This window comes from Homo sapiens, chromosome 12 (genome assembly GCF_000001405.40).
Source record: "Homo sapiens chromosome 12, GRCh38.p14 Primary Assembly".
Classification (NCBI taxonomy): Eukaryota; Metazoa; Chordata; class Mammalia; order Primates; family Hominidae; genus Homo; species Homo sapiens.
In genome coordinates this window covers 49,894,955-49,911,911 of record NC_000012.12, presented here as the reverse complement: position 1 = coordinate 49,911,911, position 16,957 = coordinate 49,894,955, and the positions used below count along the sequence as shown (strand labels likewise).

Here is a 16,957-nt window from a genome sequence, read left to right as displayed (position 1 = left end):
ACATTCTAGAATGTCATGGTTCTTTGTTGCATGTAATACAAGTTGGTGCTGGTTATAAGCTTCTGAACAATGATGAGGATGGTGGCATTTGACATTCGGTAGGTGCATTCGACTATAAGTTCCTTGAGGGTGTGGATGAGAGTTCCACGTCTTTGTCTCCCTAGCACCTAGCATGGTGCCGGCACACAGTAAATTCTCAGCAAATGGTTCTGTGGTTCAGAATGGATGTTCACAATAATGGCTCTAACTTGTCAGGCCTGTCGTATGCCAGGCTGACATATGACGTATGTGCTGAGCCCTGTCCAAATGTCATCTCACTGAGTTTTCACAATCACTCTCTGGGCCAGGCACCAATAGTCTCCACTAAGAAGTAACCCCACAGGGCCGGGATTTGTGTCTGTTGTGGTCACTGTTGTACACACATCAGTGTTTGACATGGAGTTGGCCCTCATAAATATTGTTTGAATAAGTAAATCAGTTCATGGATACCCATTGTAAAGATGAGGAAACTGAGGCTCAGATTTACCTAAGGTCAATCATCTAGTAACTGGGAGAGTCAGAATTGGCACCCAGATTGATCTGACCCCAAACCCTGTATTCTTCAATATTGAACTCTACCAGGTCAAGGGATGGAGCAGGAAGGCTTGAGATACACAACCCATATCTTTAAGGCACTTTCCATCTGGTGGAGAAACGGAAATGTATGCACATAGCGGCACATGCGATGGCAACAGAACCCGTGAGACCCTGGGGAAAGAACTGACTTTTCGAGGGCCTGCTGCAAGGGAGGGGCTAAGCCTGGCCTAGAACTTTAGTTACCTGAAAACTTGATTTTTTTGTGTTATTCTAACGTGCAGAGGGCCTGTGCCAGGCCTACCAAGGAGTGAGCTGATGCGGCTGAGAGTTTTGGAATGTGAGGCTGGGATGACAAGCCTGGGGCCTGGCTCTTCTGTGCTCAGTGAGGACTGCTCCAGCCTCAGCCCCAACTCCCAGCAAAGCCCAGGTGTGGGGAGCAGGGGAGGTGAGACAGAGATGAGGAGGGACAGAAATGTGGTTTCACACCTGACCCAGCAATTCCTGCAGCTGGGAAGCATGGCGACTCAGAATGCCGATGCCTGCCCGAGGCTTCGGCTTCTTGTCCCGCGTTTTGGAGACCATATCTGGAGAGGCACAGTGTGAGGGGCATGGGGAGGCAGGAGTAGGACTGCAGCAGAGAGGGGTTTTGCAACCAGCCTCTGGCTGGTCAGCACAGGAGTGTCAGGTTCTTTGCTGTGGGGCTGCTGGGGATGAGAGAGGCAGGAAGAACCCCTGTGAAGAACAGTGAGAAGGGTAGGGGCCAGGGGCCTGCAGGGTGATGGCAGGCTTTGAAGGGTGTGAAAGGCTGCCACAGCTGAGGCCCGGCTATACCCAGGAGGGAGCAAGCAGCCTGATGCCTGAGCTGGCCTGGCCCATTCACCTCTTGTGGCCCAACCTGAGAACCTTCTTACTGTGGGTGAGCTGGGCCTTGTCTAGCCCCTGCCTCTGCGCCCCCATCACTGGCCTCAAAAGCACAGGTTCTCTCTTTTCTTGCACGGTGAGGAGGCAGAGAGTGGTGCAGGCTGGGTGTGCGGGTCTGTGTGTCAGGGGGTTATTGGTGAGAATCTGGGGAGAGGCGCCTGGATAGCTCTGATTCTACCCACCTAGGAGGTCTGAGACCCTCCCAACTCCTCCCCGACTCCCAGCCTCAGTGTTGTCGCTGAAACCCTCTTGAGCTGATGGTGCCTACGCGGGGTCAAATGCATTCTTCTCACCGGCCTCGGCCCCAACGTGTCATGTAACCTCGTGTTAGTCACTCAACCTCTTTGGCCTTGTGCTTCCACATCTGTAAAATGAGAAGTTGCCTCCGCCCACACCTTTGCCCCTCCCCACCGCCAACCCACACTTGCCCCAGACAGAGCTGGCAACAAAAGCAGACTGCGGAGTGGGAGGGACTGCCATGGCGTGGGCCTGGAAGGAGGAGAGAGGCAATGCCTGCGGCCAGACCTTCGCTCCCCTCAGAGCAGCCCTGAAAATATTCCCGGCTGGTCTTTGCCTCTCCACGGTCACAGCAGCCTCGTGATGAAGATGGCAGGGGGAATTCTACAGAGAGGACAGGACTTCCTTCCATCTTCTCCTGCTCATAGCTGCTGCCTGGGATCCACTCATCCCCTTCTTCTCTCCTTGGCCTCACTCTGCAGTGGGGGTGCTCACTGACTCCAGGGTTCAGCCACTGTCTGCATGCTAATGAGCTAAGGAGTCCCACACCTCCACCACCAGCCCAGCACTCAACTCCATGGGCCCCAGGGCTGGGCCCCAGGGCGGGAAGGGATGTGGTCCTCCCCCTGAACACAGTGCATGGTGCCTCCTGGGGCTGCGCAGGGAGGAGGCCTTGCCCGGACCTCTCTCCTGGGCACCAGGAACCTCTGGCCAACTGCCTACAGGACATCTCCACCTGGATGTCCTACAGGCCCTCAAACTCAACCTGACCCCCGCCCAAGCACCTCAGCTCCTTTCCCTTTTCATAATGGTATCATTCTCCCAGGGACTCAGTCTTCACACCTTTGCCCTTTTTGATGCCCCTTCTGCCTTTCTCTCACTTCTACTGTCTTCCCAAGTCCTGTCGGTCCTGTCCCATGCTGTCCCTTTTCTCCATCTTTTCTGCCCCTGGATCACGTGTCTTATTTTCTAGTGATCAAACATGTTTACAGCATGTGTTAGATGGCTGGCTCTGCTCTAAGTGCCTTACAAATCCTAACTCTCCTCATTCTCACAACCTTCAGTTTACAGAGGATGAAACTGAGGCACAGAGAAGTCAAGCGTCTTGTGCAGGGCCAGGATTGGGACCCACGCAGCCTGCTCCAGAGCCGGGCTCTGACCCTCCACAAGAGCCATCACTAAAGTTCCACTTACCGCTGCACCTTCAATCTCTTCCTCTCTCCATCCCTCCCACATGTTCACAGACAAAATCTTCTTCCTTATTTAATAAAACAATATAATGACCAGCCTGGCAAACATGGTGAAACCTCACGTCTACTAAAAATAGAAAAATTAGGCCTGGCGTGGTGGCTTACGCCTGTAATCCCAGCACTTTGGGAGGCCAAGGTGGGTGGATCACCTGAGGTCAGGAGTTCGAGACCAGCCTGGCAAACATGGTGAAACCCCGTCTCTACTAAAAATACAAAAATTAGCTGGGCATGATGGTGGTGACTATAATCTCAGCTACTTGAGAGGCTGAGGCAGGAGAATCGCTTGAACCCAGGAGACAGAGGTTGCAGTGAGCGGAGATCGCACCACTGCACTCCAGCCTGGGTGAGAGAGTGAGACTCCACCTCAAAAAAAAAAAAAAAAGAAAAAAAGAGAAAACAATGTAATAGCAAAAATTACTACAGAGGTTGGTCTTTCTTATCTTTTTTTTTTTTTTTTTTTTTTTTGAGGCTGAGTTTCACTCTTATTGCTCAGACTAGAGTGCAGCAGTGCAATCTTGGCTCACTGCAACCTCTGCCTCCCAGGTTCAAGCGATTCTCCTGCCTCAGCCTCCCGAGTAGCTGGGATTACAGGCATGTGCCACCACATCCAGCTAATTTTTTTTTATTTTTAGTAGAAACGGGGTTTCGCCATGTTGATCAGGCTGGTCTCGAACTCCTGACCTCAGGTGATCCATCCACCTTGGCTTCCCAAAGTGCTGGGATTACAAGCATGAGCCACTGCGCTTGGCCTGGTTGGTCTTTCTGAAGCATGACTTTAAACACGTCATTTCCATGTTCAATAAAACCTTGAGGCCAGGCACAGTGACTTACTCCTGTAATCCCAGCCTTTGGGAGAGCGAGGTAAAAGGATCGGTTGAGCCCAGGAGTTCGAGGCCAGCCTGGACAACATAGTGAGATCTTGTCTGTACAAAAAATAAAATTAACCAGGCATGGTGGTGCAGGCCTGTAGTCCCAGCTACTTGGGAGGGTAAGATGGGAAGATCGCTTGAGCCTGGGAGGTTGAGGCTGACGTGAGCCATGATTGTGCCACTGCATTCCAGCCTGGGCGATAGAGTGAGATTCTGTCTCAAAAATTAAATAAATAATAAAATAAAATAAAGCTTGAAACTCCCCATTACTTTCCCGCCTTGTACAAACAGAATAAAGCCTATCATGGGGTGGAGATTTGAGGATGTTACCCCAACAACCTCCCCAGCTCCCCTGGGGAGCCCCTTACTGTTTCTGACTCCCTTGAGGCACTATTCTCCCAGCCCTCAGCCACCCCAGCACTGCCTGTCCCCTCCTGCCCGGGGGTGAGTCTGAAGGGATCTCATTCTTCTTGAAGAATGGCTTCTACCAAATGTGTCAACAGGGACAGAGACCACAGACATGACAAATGAATGAACAAATGAGTAACTGTGGAACTGAGCTGCCTTATGTGGTGGAAATTATTTCATTAAACAATATTTGTGGAACCCTTAAGGCTAACACTAATAGCTAACACCAAGAGCTTATTGTGTGCTTATAGTCATCAAACATGCATAGAGCATGTGTTAGATGCCTGGTTCTGTTCTAAGTGCCTTACAAATCCTAACTCTCCTCATTCTCACAACTTTCACAACTCATCTCTCACAAGCTCTCATACAGCTTTTAAATAGAGGAGCCGGGATCTGGAGCAAAGCTGCTTGACTGTGTAGCCTTGGCTTTTGACTACCACACCTAACTATCACCAGATCCCAGAGGAATGTTACACGAATGTTTAATATTTGAGTAATGTCAGCTGGGCACGGTGGCTCATGCCTGTAATCCCAGCACTTTGGGCGGCTGAGGCGGGCAGATCACCTGAGGTCAGGAGTTCGAGACCAGCCTGGCCAACGTGGTGAAATTCTGTCTCTACCAAAAATAGGAAAAGTAGCCAGGCGTGGTGGTGTGCGCCTGTAGTCCCAGCTACTCAGGAAGCTGAGGCAGGAGAATCGCTTGAACCTGGGAGGCGGAGGTTGCAGTGAGCTGAGATCGTGCCACTGCACTCCAGCCTGGGCAACAAGAGCAAAACTACACCTCAAAACAAAAATTTTTTTGAGTAATATCCAAAGACCACCTCATGGGAACATATACCCTAGTTACTTGGGAGGCTGAGGCAGGAGGATGCTTGAGCCCAGAAATTCAGACTGTAACAAGCCATGATCATACCACTGCACTCCAGCTTAGGCAACACAGCGAGACCCTGTCTCAAAAAAAAGTTGGGGGGACATATACACAATGTCAAGGTAATAGAGTCCAACATCTGAGAAACATCATAGCACTGACAATGTCAACATGTCTGAGGAATATAAGGATTTTGTATAATGCTGTACTTTACTCAACCAAATACTTATCAACCCACCACATCCATGTCAGTCACTATTTTAACCCACAGGTGTAAAGCAATGACACAACACCCCCAAACTCCTCCTCTTCTGTAGCTGACGTTCTAATGGGAGAGAGAGAGAGAACAAAACAAAACAAAACAAAACATGTCAGAGGTGACAATTGACATAGAAAACATAAAGCTTAATCAGAAAAAAGGGACTGTCCAATTTGCTGGGTGGGGGTATGCGGGTGGCACTGCTACTTTGTATAAGATCAGGAAGACCACCCCTGAGATAATGTCTGAGCAGAGTAGTGAAGTTAGTGAGGGAGGGAGCCACGCAATGATCTGTAGAATTTCCAAACAAGACACAGCCAGTGCAAAGGGCCTCAGCTAAGCGCATGCTCAGCCCAGTCTAAGGAATGGCCAAGAGGCCTGTGTGGCTGGAGCAGAGTGAATGCGAGAGAAGGAACAGGAGTGATTCACAAACATGAAAGTGCTAAGGCTGATGAAAGTCAGGCTCTGCGTAGTGCCATGTCTGGGAAATATTACTAGCTACAATTGATGGAGTGCATTCCACACACCTGGCACTGCATTCAGTCCAGCTCACACCAAAACTGCTACAGGAGCTTAGAGTGTAACAGGGAGTCAGTCAAAGAAACTTCACAGCGCCACGTGACAGGCGTTACATCAGGGTGCTAGGGAACTACAGAAGAGGAGCATCTAACCCCAACTAGGGGGGGAAGGAGGCTTCCTGGAGGAGGTGGCATTCAAGCTGTCAAGCAGGAGAAGGAAAACACTTCCAGGATGCAGATGCAGAGAAGGAGGGAAGGCCAGAACCTGGACCAGCTGGTCAGAGCTCCAGGTGCAGTGCTGGGGACCAGGGCACAGCTTGCTGGAAGAAGAGCTCGGGTTTGTAGGGTTGAGAGAGCCTCTGGACACGGAGGCCCAGGCTTAAGTGTGTTTGTGCAAAATTGGTGGTTATGGAGTGGGGGACAAAGGGCAAAAAGGGGTGGGATAAAGACTTTGATAATTAGGCCAGGCACGGTGGCTCACACCTGTAATCCCAGCACTTTGGGAGGCTGAGGAGGGTGGATCACTTGAGGTCAGGAGTTGGAGACCAGCCTGGCCAACATGGTGAAACCCTGTCTCTACTAAAAATACAAAATTAGCCGGGCGTGGTGGTGCGCGCCTGTAATCCCAGCTACTCAGGAGGCTGAGGCAGGAGAATCACTTGAACCCGGAAGACAGAGGTTGCAGTGAGCCAAGATTGTGCCACTGCACTCCAGCCTGAGCAACAGAACAAGATTTTCTCTGTAAAAAAAAAAAAAAAAAAAAAAAAAAAGACTTTGATAATTTGTCTGCCTACCTGGGCCCTGCTTTCTCAGGGACTTTAGGTGGGTCCCTGGGCAGTGAGAGGGAAGCAGAAGGTAAGTGGCCACCCCCACCTGTCCCAGGTCTTAGTTTCTCGTCCCATCCTAGCAGGTTCAGATACTTCTTTTAGGCAGATTTGTGGGTGCTCGCTCTGGGGCAGCCCAGGACATTCTGGTAGGAGACTCCTCAGTTAATAATACCTCACATACTTCCAGCACTTCTTGGTCTTTTATGTGCTTTTACGGCCATAACCTGTGCGTCTGACAGTCAATCTAGGATGGACAGAGCTCTGTTCTAAGCCTCTTTTTCGTAGGAGCTGCAGCTCAGAGAGGTTAAGGGCCTTGCCAAGGCCACGCGGCCAGTGGGTGACTAAATTGGGACTTGATCCCAGCTCTTGAGATTGCAAACCCCATAGTGACACTGCAGCAGCTACAGAAAACGGGGCCTGATGATGGCTGGGTCCCAGTGACACGTCTGGGGAAGCGGGGAGAACGAGCTCTGGCATGGGAGGAATGGAAAAGGGGGGAAGATGGAGACGGGGTGATGGAAGCTAAGCGTGGAGGCAGGAAGAGAGCTCTGGCAGGGGTTGTAGAGGCTTTGAGACAGAACTAGCGGTGTCTCCAGAAAGACCCCGTGAAATGTCCCAGCAGGGCTGAAAGAAACAGAAGAGGTGTCCTCCCACCCCATGTCTCTGTGAACCAAGGCAGGGAGGGACCTACTGTGTGCATTTCACAGGCGAGAAAAAGGAGCAAGGATAGGTGGCTATTGGCTTGCCCCAGGCCCACAGGAGCGCAGGGCCCAGGGGCCCTGTTAGAAGCGGGCAGCACAGGCGAGACTTCCAGACCTTCCCCTCTACCAGGGATGATGAAATAGATGATGAGAGGGGAGGTGGAGATGGAGACAGAAATCAGGGCCGCATCCAAAGAGGGAGGAGGAAAAGGCAGAGGCGCAGCTGGAGCTGCAGAGAGGTGCAGAGACAGTGGAGATGAGGCCCTGATGCCCGGCTCTGGTTTCACGCGGGCAGCGTCAGCTGGTCGGTGTCACGGAGTTCCCGCGTCCTCCGCCCGCTCAGCCCCCGCGGACCCATCCACTGGGGTTGCTCCGCAGCGCGACTCTCTCTCATCCCGGGGGAGGGCTAAGGGCGGCGGTGGGGGGCGGGGTGGGGGGGAAGCGGCGGGAGGGGGCGGTGCGCCGCCGCCTTACCCCGGGCTCGCGAATCCGCAGCGTCCTCCGCAGCATCTTCCCAGGCCCGGCCCTCTCCTCCCCCCGCGCCGATGGTACGCGCCGGCTCGCCTGGCCCGGCTGCAGTGGATGTTGCTAGAACCCACGCGGAGGAAGGAAGAGACGCAGGCAGGCTGCGGTTACCCAAGCGGCCACCCGGGCCTCAGGGACCCCTTCCCCGAGAGACGGCACCATGACCCAGGGAAAGGTACCGGCATCTCCCCAGCCTGCACCATCCTCCATCCTCCGGCTCCCGGCTCCCTGTCATCCTCAGCAAGCCCTCTGGACCACGAAAGCATCCTCCCCTGGCCCTAGTTTGAAGGTCCTCCGTGGTCCTTGCTGAAGTCAGAGGACCGAAAGGCCGGTGTCAAGGAATGGACCGAGGCCTCTTCCTGCCCGCAGGCGCGCCTCTCCTCCCCTGTCACCCTGCCACCCCTGCTTTGGCATTACAGCATTACAAGGCTCCTCACAGATACCCAGGCCCCCCGTGAGGAGTCAGCCCGGGCGTCTGGTGTGACTGTATGTGTGTGCATGGGTATGTGTGTGCCAGGGTGAGCCCTGAGGGGCAGTGCCTATCGGGCAACCCCCTCTGGCCCAACCCTCCAGTCCCAAACCCAACCACTTTATGCTCATCTTTCCCACCCTCCACGGAAACAACCCCCACCCTACTCCCTGCCATTGTTCCACATCTGGGCGTCTTGGCTCCATCCCTGTGCTTGGGGCTTGCTATGACAACTCTGCATCAAGATGCTCTAATTGTTGTTTTGGTTTTGGCCAGGCATGGATGGGTCCGGATGAAGCATCTCTTCTCCAGTTTTAGGCCTGAATTGTAGGGGAGGGGCTGGGGCAGAGACTCGGCTGGCCTAGTAGGCTTATGTAACATCAATAGCCTGTGGAATTATACAACCACTAGGGCCTGGGGCTAAGGGGGAGGGTACTCGGGCCCTCTGTTTGGGTTGCTAAGGATTGGGCAGAGAAAACAGGGGAAGGACCTCCCCTACACTCCCCCTTCTTCTCTTTGAGAGGAGCTTCAGAGCCAATGACATCCTTCCCTGGACCCTCAGACCCTCCTCTCCCTGTATGCAAGCTCTTTGGGCCTCAAATGATGTCACTGGGTGATACCACCTCCCGCCATTGGTCACACCTCACTTGGGAGTGCCGTATGTGTGTCGGGGGCCTGGGCATTAGGGTCCAGGAGGCTCTGGGGGGCGGAGTGGCAGGGTGGAGGCTGAACTCGATTTAGGTGGACATGATCCTTCAGATCCGGGTGATGAGGGGGGCTGGGGAGTGGGAGGCAGTGGGAGGCCTGGGGAGTGTTCAGTTCCGTAAACATGGAGAACTCACCCCTTCTGCTGAGTCTCCTTCCACCTCCACCCTGCCTCCACCAGGCCCTTTAGTGGCGCTGTTCCCTTCCTGGTGTGAGGGGGACCTCTGCCTCCTCTGCCCCTTGTCCCCAGCTCACGCACAGGCTTGCTGGGGGATGGAGAAGACCGCTCCAGTTCAGTGGTCCTTGGGCCTGGATGGAACCAGAAGTCTTCTGGTGCGTGCCTGTCTCCAGGCTGCCTCAGCCAGATGCTCCCTGCAAAGAAGGAAGTCCGCAGTCTTCCTCAGTGGCCCTTTAGGTCTAACACAGTCTTCTGGGAACCAGACCTAAATCCCATTTTCTGAGAGCCGGGCTTTTTGTTGCTGTTTCAATTTCACACCACCCCCTCCACCCCAGTCTTTCCTTCTCTGGCTGCCTCATTCAGGCCTTCCCAGCTCAAATCCTCTCACCAAAGCTAAACATGTCCACGGGTGGGGGGCAGGGGACACATCTGAGTGTAAATGGACTCGCATTTCCAACCTGCCATGGGGACGTTTCCCTTTGAGCCTCAGTTTCCTCATCTGTTCAGTGACGGAAGAGACTCAACTGGATGTCTTCTGAGGCCCCTTCCACTGGGTCACTCTGTGAGTCTGTTCTGGTTTAGGGGAGAGGCTGAGATTCCTACAGGATGAGGCCAGAACAGACCCTTAGCCTGGATCCTCTTGCCCTTCCTCCACCCTGAAGGCCCTTCTTCTTTTCTGTTTTCTCCCTCTCCTCTTCCCTTTCTGTTGCCCTTCTCTCTCCCATCTCCATTCTCCTTGCATCACTTCCAGCGCAACAGAAGGATCAATCCCAGTGGATGATGCCTAGGCCCTGCCTCTCAGTGGGCCACATGCAGCTCTGTGACCTTGGATGAATCGCTCTTCCTCTGTGATCCTCATTCTCCTCATTTTAAAGCAGGGGTCAAAATGCAGCTAGCAAGTCTCAGGAAGATTAAATGACATAACCTTTTATTTGTAACAATCTACTATGTGCCAGGCTCTTTTCTGGAACCATAGAGACCCTGCCCCTACCCCAGGGACAATGACAGTGACAACCAATGGTGGACACTCCTAAGAATTTTCTCTTTCCTCTGTTCCTATCCCAGCTCCACCATGTGCCCCAGCTAGCTCTGACCCCTCTGGAGCTTAGTTCTCTTGTCTATAAAATAGAGACATTCTTGTCTGCATTCCTGGCTTCCAAGTGCAGGTAAGGAAGGAACCATGAAAGTTCCAGGAATTGAAGAGTTGGTGAGGAGGAGGAGTTGGAAGGCTCCCTTTCCCTGGTGACTATCTCTCTCTCTGACTCTACTCCATAGCTCTCCGTGGCTAACAAGGCCCCTGGGACCGAGGGGCAGCAGCAGGTGCATGGCGAGAAGAAGGAGGCTCCAGCAGTGCCCTCAGCCCCACCCTCCTATGAGGAAGCCACCTCTGGGGAGGGGATGAAGGCAGGGGCCTTCCCCCCAGCCCCCACAGCGGTGCCTCTCCACCCTAGCTGGGCCTATGTGGACCCCAGTAAGTCTTTCAGCTCCTGGAACCTGAAGCATCATGGGGTGGGGGTGGACCCAGAGGGAAAACCTGAGTAGGAGGAAGTTGTCCAGAAAGAGGTACACTGTGTGGTTGTATGAAGCTGTGTTGTTAGATGCTTAGGATTTGGAGAACTAGTCTGAGGGTAGGTCAGAGACAACTCCATGAAAACAGAGAGAGATACAATGTCTGCATCAGGGTGCTCTCAATAGGGAAGAGGGCATTTTTTTTTCAAGTCACCATGCTAGAGCAAATGGAGGGGACAGATGAGGGAGAAAAGCTAAGGGCTAGTTAAGAAAGAACTCCTAGAAAAAAGAGATACAGAGAAGGAGGGGGCATAGGAGGCTGCCACTGGCCACAGCCTTCACTGGGCCTGGCCCCTGTGAGTGGGGGTGCAGTGTTTACTCACTGGCTGATCTGAAACCTCAGTGGGGACAGGTCTCCACGGAGGCCCCAGGGCTGTTGGGGGATAGGGGTCTGGGGATCCACCTCACCAATCACTCTTCTCATATCTGTTCCCTTCCCCGAGCCCGTGCTGGGGCAGGAGTTCATGACCCAGGGAGGGAGTGTGGTTTCCAGCCTCAGTGTCCCCCACAGCTGGGCACACTCACCCAGGTGGATGCCAGATTCCTGCAGACCGAGAATCCCAGTGGGTAGGAGCTGCTCTGTTGGGTCAAGCAGCCTGTGGGAGCTTTACCTCGGGGCCAGGAACGTATAGCTTCCCAAAAGCTCTGAGGAAATCCTCCTTAGCCCCTGTGGCCTTCCTCAGCAGCCCCTCCCCCTCTCCCACTTTATCACCCCACCTCCAGCAGGATTCTAGAAGAGATCTCAGAGACAATGCCCCAGACAGAGCCTCTGCTCATAGGGAGTAGCCACCATGGTCTACACCTCCCACTACAAATCCCCTGGGCGCAGACCCCTGAAGACTCACCCCACCGTGACCTACTGGAGGGTCAATGAAGGTCTGGTGTTTGTGGGTGTCCTCCTCCCTTCCCTACACACCCGCCGGCCCACTTTCCCTCTCTTTTCCCCTTCCCTCTGTGGCCTGGCCACCTGGGCTTTCGCAGAATATGTAGACAGGACACGAGGGAGAAGTGAAGGACAAGAGGGCAAGGGTCTTCAGGCCTCAGGTTTGCAGTGGGTCTACCTCTCTCCCCCTTCCTCATTTCCCATATCCTCGTTGCTAGGACTGCTGTTTTAAGGAATGTTTTCCAAGGAACTGTCGAGGCAGGAAGGCAGCTATGACAGACATTTACTAAGTGTGTGCCAGGGCACAGGGTTCGCGTCTGGGTTTGTTTCGGAGGATGCATTGATTTGCAAGACCTGCTGGGATCTCTGTCCTCAGAGAGCTGACTGTATAGACAAGTGATTGGACAACTACCACACAGTGACACAAACACAGTGACAGATGCCTCAGCACCTTACCTAACCCACCTAACAGTCAGGGAAGGCTTCCTGGAAGAAGCGGTATCCACACTGAGTCCCAAAGGATAGGCATGAGTTAGTCTGGTGAAGAGGCAGGAAAATGAGTGTTTAAGGCTGAAAGAATAGAATGTGCAGGGGCTCACAGGCAAGAGAATACATGGTTGAAAAAATATACTTGGGTTGAGAACCTGATCGGGGGAGGAATGTATAGCGGGGCTGGAGGGTGCTGCGCAGGGAGGCCGCGGAGGCTTTCTTAAGAAACTTGAACTTGAGTGAAGGGCAGTGGGGAGCCATTGAAGAGCTCAAAGCAGGGCAATACCATGGTCAGCTTTGAAAGACCAAGACAGAGGCTACTGCTGGGGGCAAATAAGATCATGGAAACCTAGTGGGGACAGTGGAGGGACAAAATGAACACACTGGAGGACTTGGAAATGGCCACGATGAGGGGCACATGGGAGAGGGTGAGGCTGTGTAGTTCCCACCAGAGAGCATAGGCTTTCATTTCGCAGACCTGGAGGCTTTCATGTTTATAGGCCCAGGAGGTGGGTATCACTAACCAGTATCAGAAGAGGCTCAGGGAAGGCCAGTAACTTTATCAGGGTCACACATCTAGTAAGTTCTAGGGGAGGGATCCACCCCTGCGTCTGTTTGACTGTGGAGTTCATGCTCTTCCAAAAGCCTCAGTTCTGGGACTAGGCCTGGAACTGTCATCCTCACCCCCACTTCTTGCCCTTGTCCTGGCTTTATTTCCCCTCCAGCCCCCCACCCCCTGAAGCCCTGGTTTCCAGCTGGAGTACCAGCGGTCCACCACAGCCAACCAGTCCCCAGCTCCCAGCCCAAGAGCCTCAGCACAAGCCAGAGTCAGAGCTGGGCACAGTGGCTCATACCTGTAATCCCAGCACTTTTGGAGGCCAAGGCAGGTGGATTGCTTGGGCTCAGGAGTTCAAGACCAGCCTGGGCAACATGGTGAAACCCCATCCCTACTAAAAATATAAAATATTAGCCAGGCGTGATGGTGTGCACCTGTAGTCCCAGCTACTCGGGAGGTTGAGGTGGGAGGATCGCCTGAGCCAGGGGAAGTCGAGGCTGCCGTGAGCCATGATCATGCCACTGCACTCTAGCCTGAGTGACAGGAGTGAGACCCTGTCTCAAAAAAACAAAACAAAACAAAAACAAAAAGAATGAGCAAGGGTCAGGATCTTTGCTGCTGGGTGGCCCAGAGAGAGTGGCTGGCCCTCTGTGATCCTTGACCACAAGGGAGCCAGAATGTCCAAGGAGGATGGTGGGGGGAAGAAGATGGGAGATTCACATTCGTATGGCAGAGCTTGGTCCCCAGGGAGCCCCAGCCGGGGTGGAGGGAGAGGTAGGGGATGACAGCTTCTTCCCAGGACTCAGAGCAGGAAAAGTGAGAATTGACCAGGGAGAGAGATCTGGGGATTGGGGTGGAGCCGGGCTGGGTGTTTGATAATGGGGCAGGAGAGAAAGACTTCAGGGTCCAGAGAGCCAGGTTGACAAAAAGGCAGCTTTGAGTTGGGGGCTGTTGGGGACAGTAATTCTATGTAGGGGGAACCCTCATGTCCTCCTCCTCCACGTGCCACACAGGCAGCAGCTCCAGCTATGACAACGGTTTCCCCACCGGAGACCATGAGCTCTTCACCACTTTCAGCTGGGATGACCAGAAAGTTCGTCGAGTCTTTGTCAGAAAGGTAATGCCCCTCTGTAGCCCTCTGGGACTGGGAGCCTCAGTGGGGGAGCCCCTGGAGAGGTCCCTGGCCCAACCCTCTGCCTGCAGAAGCCATCCCTGCCCCCTTCTCTTGTGATCCCAGCTGACAGCACCCACTAGGAATTGCTTCCTTAGGTGTCACTCCAGTGCCCTGTGCTACACCTAAACACACTGTCCCCTCTTTTCTCCCAATGCTGGGGGGGGGTGCGCTTGGCTCTGCAGCATCTTTGCTTTCCTTTCGCCTTGCCCTGGGTTCACTCCAATGACCCCCAAAAAGGAGGGTGGAGTGCACAGGATGGGGACCTGGAGAGGTGACTGAGTCACTGCGGGGCTGACAGGTCCCTAACAGGGCCCCCCAAGCTGAGTAGAACCCCTCCCACCCCCAGGTCTACACCATCCTGCTGATTCAGCTGCTGGTGACCTTGGCTGTCGTGGCTCTCTTTACTTTCTGGTGAGTTGGCAGCATGGACCAGCACCTTCCAGGGATGACTATGGCCAGGCCTGGAGCCGGGGAACCCATGATCAGACTCCTGCTGGAATGCTGCCTGGAGAGATGCCTGTGGGGCAGTGGGCCTCCTCCTGCTGGGAAAGAACCTTAGAGAGGGCACCAGGCAAGGGGCCCTCTGTCCAGTGTGGGGTGGACCCTGGGTGCCTTCTGGGTGTCTGTGTGGCAGTCCTTCTGATCCGAACCACTAGCTGCTTGCCCAGGCACCTGCAGGTCCCAGCCGGGGACTGTGGGCTGGGACTCCCCGAGCCTCCAGGGGCTGCATTCCTTTGGCTTCCTCTCAAGTTCTGTGAACTGTGTGGGACAGATGCAGATGCTGAACCAGAAATGGAGACCTAGGGTACATTCTGACTCTCTCTCCCACTCTCTCTTCTCTGCAGTGACCCTGTCAAGGACTATGTCCAGGCCAACCCAGGCTGGTACTGGGCATCCTAGTGAGTATATCTCAGTCCCCAGTCCCCTTCCAGAGAAGGCTTAGTGGCCAGAAGAGGGAATCTCTGTGTCTTTCTTGACCTAATCTGAGCCCGTAGCTTCCCCCAGCCCCACAGGGACTGTCCTCACAGATCCCCTCCAACCCTGCCCCATTCTGTCGGCTTCAGAGCATGGCCAGAAGCACCTTTCTGGGGCATTACATCTGATGGGGCACAAAGGAGACGGGGGTAGGTTCTGCTGCCTGCGCAAATTGGGAAGGGTCGGGCCAGGGCTATAGCCGGAGAGACCCAGACCTCGGTCCTAAGAGGAAGTGGGGCTGGAACACTTTGGCCCACACTAATGATAATGTTGCTGCTCTTATTAATGTTGTTAGTAATGCTTATGAAATATTAATCATAATAGCTACCACTTAAAGAGTGCTTAATAAGGGCTGGGTATTGTTCTGTGTGCTTGATGTACAGTATTGCATTCGGTCCTCACATCTACTGGGTATGACTACTTCAGAAAATTAAGGTTCAGAGAAATGAGGAATTTGCCCAAGGTCACACAGCTAGTCAGCGGTAGAACTGGGATTCAAACCCAGAATTCAGGTTAAGGCTTGTGCTCTTAATCCATCTACTTGGCAGGCTCCCTGCAGCCCTCGAGCCACTCGGCTCCTGCTTGTCCTATATTCTTTGAGGAACCCGGCCAGTAACTTGGGAGAGGAGGTTTGAATGTGTAGGTGATTCTGATCCTCCTTTCTGGGTAATTAAGGAGTCACCCTGGATATCTCCAGACCAGAACCATCCTGGGACTCAGAGCAGAACTGCTCTCGCGCTCACTGTGAGCCCAGCCCTGTACGGGGGCTGCGGGAGAGGAGGCCTCTGCAGGGAAAGTTATTGGGTGGCCCAAGGTAGCATGAACAGATGCAGCATTCGGAGAGGGGAGGAAGGAAGGAGTGAGCCTGTACACGCAGCCCACATCAGGGGCGCCCCCCAAAGGATGGGCCATGAAGACAGGAGACAGCGTTCCCAGGAGACAAGTGGCTTAAGCAAAAGCGTGGGGCGAGAATGCACGTGGTACATTTGGTAAACTGGGACTTCTCTGGCAGAGAGCTGGAAGGCTCCATGCAGGGGAATTCCAAGGCATCTTGGAGAGCAGTGGGGCCTCGTGGGGTCAAGGTTCTGACTGCCTGGCCAAGGAGCTTACACACTGCGGCTGTCCCAAGTCTGTTCCTGGATAGGGCTCTGGTGGGGAGGTGGGCTCAGCCCAGAGCCCCCTGGACCACGTCGAGCCCAGAGTAGCCTCAGAGATGGGCCTAGAGTTCACAGAGGCCCACCAGAGGCTGATGGTAAGGACCCTAGCCTGGCCTCTGGGGGTTCCAAAGTCTTTCCTAGAGCAGAGGACAGAGGGCCTGTCTGCAGGCAGGCAGGGAGGCATGTGTCTTGGGGAACTGGGAGGCACTGTACGGTAAAGCTAATGAGGCCCCAGAGACTACCACCTGGGCCAGCCCATGTGGCAGGTTGGCATGGCTTCTGGCACATCAGCATGGCCTGGCAGCTTTGAGCTCCTGAGAACTTGGGAAGGGATTCTTAGGCCCCTCTCTGAGCCTTCTGGAGGAGGGTCTGTGGGACTCTATGCTCTGAGCAGGTGGTGGCAGGGAGACAGCCCAGGAGTGAGTAGGCCCGGGAGGTGGAGGCAGAGTCCACTCCATTGGGGGGGATGGGGGGATTGGGAGGGTGCAGTGTGAGAATCTGACCTCTGAATGGTGAGATCTGGAGTCCCTCCTCTTCAACATCTCTGGGCAGAAAACAGAGATGCTCTCTCTGGCTTCTACCAGGGTGGGTGCTGGCAGAAGTGGGAGGTGGGCGTGGACTGGGCGCTTTTCATAGGGTGTTCCAAAGTGTGAAAGGTGCTTGGGAGTTTCACTGCTGGGATGCTGCCCTTTTCCTCCAGAAAACCTGCCTGGGGTCCTGCCTGCCCTGCCCTGCCCGCTCCACACCCCTCAGCTCTCTCCGTCCTGCCCCCTAAGTTGGCCTCGTGTCTGAGTCCTGGTAGGTCTCACCTCCTGCAACACATCATGTGCTCCCTGAGGACTC

General features: G+C 54.1%; 1 protein-coding gene and 1 long non-coding RNA gene across 4 annotated transcripts in view, besides 1 other annotated feature; both read left to right on the top strand.

Annotated features, from left to right (window-relative positions):
- Positions 1-48: 48 nt before the first annotated feature.
- On the top strand, positions 49-3,030 carry LINC02396 (long intergenic non-protein coding RNA 2396). 2 transcript variants are annotated; one of them, NR_026948.1, is made up of 3 exons: positions 49-98; positions 622-739; positions 858-3,030. It is a non-coding gene; the product is annotated as a long intergenic non-protein coding RNA 2396 (long non-coding RNA). The 2 variants fall into 2 exon arrangements; NR_146570.1 differs by lacking the exon at positions 622-739 and having other exon boundaries at positions 2,799-3,030.
- Positions 3,031-8,011: 4,981 nt separating this feature from the next.
- Positions 8,012-16,957, top strand: part of FAIM2 (Fas apoptotic inhibitory molecule 2) — a 37,005-nt gene continuing 28,059 nt past the window's right edge. Inside the window, exons 1-5 of one of the 2 annotated variants that reach the window (NM_012306.4) lie at positions 8,012-8,134; positions 10,587-10,782; positions 13,822-13,925; positions 14,329-14,393; positions 14,828-14,881. In NM_012306.4, the coding sequence (NP_036438.2) occupies positions 8,120-8,134; positions 10,587-10,782; positions 13,822-13,925; positions 14,329-14,393; positions 14,828-14,881 (434 nt within the window). In that variant the 5' untranslated portion in view covers positions 8,012-8,119. Of the gene's footprint in view, positions 8,135-10,586; positions 11,757-13,821; positions 13,926-14,328; positions 14,394-14,827; positions 14,882-16,957 lie in introns of those variants that run through there. The other variant, XM_005268730.4, reaches the window with a different exon arrangement.
- Positions 16,225-16,804: an enhancer, noted in NCBI's record as "H3K4me1 hESC enhancer chr12:50288891-50289470 (GRCh37/hg19 assembly coordinates)". NCBI's record gives its function as "activates a minimal SCP1, AML or CMV promoter by ChIP-STARR-seq in primed H9 embryonic stem cells {active_cell/tissue: H9 hESC(primed)}" and the evidence as "EXISTENCE:reporter gene assay evidence [ECO:0000049][PMID:30033119]".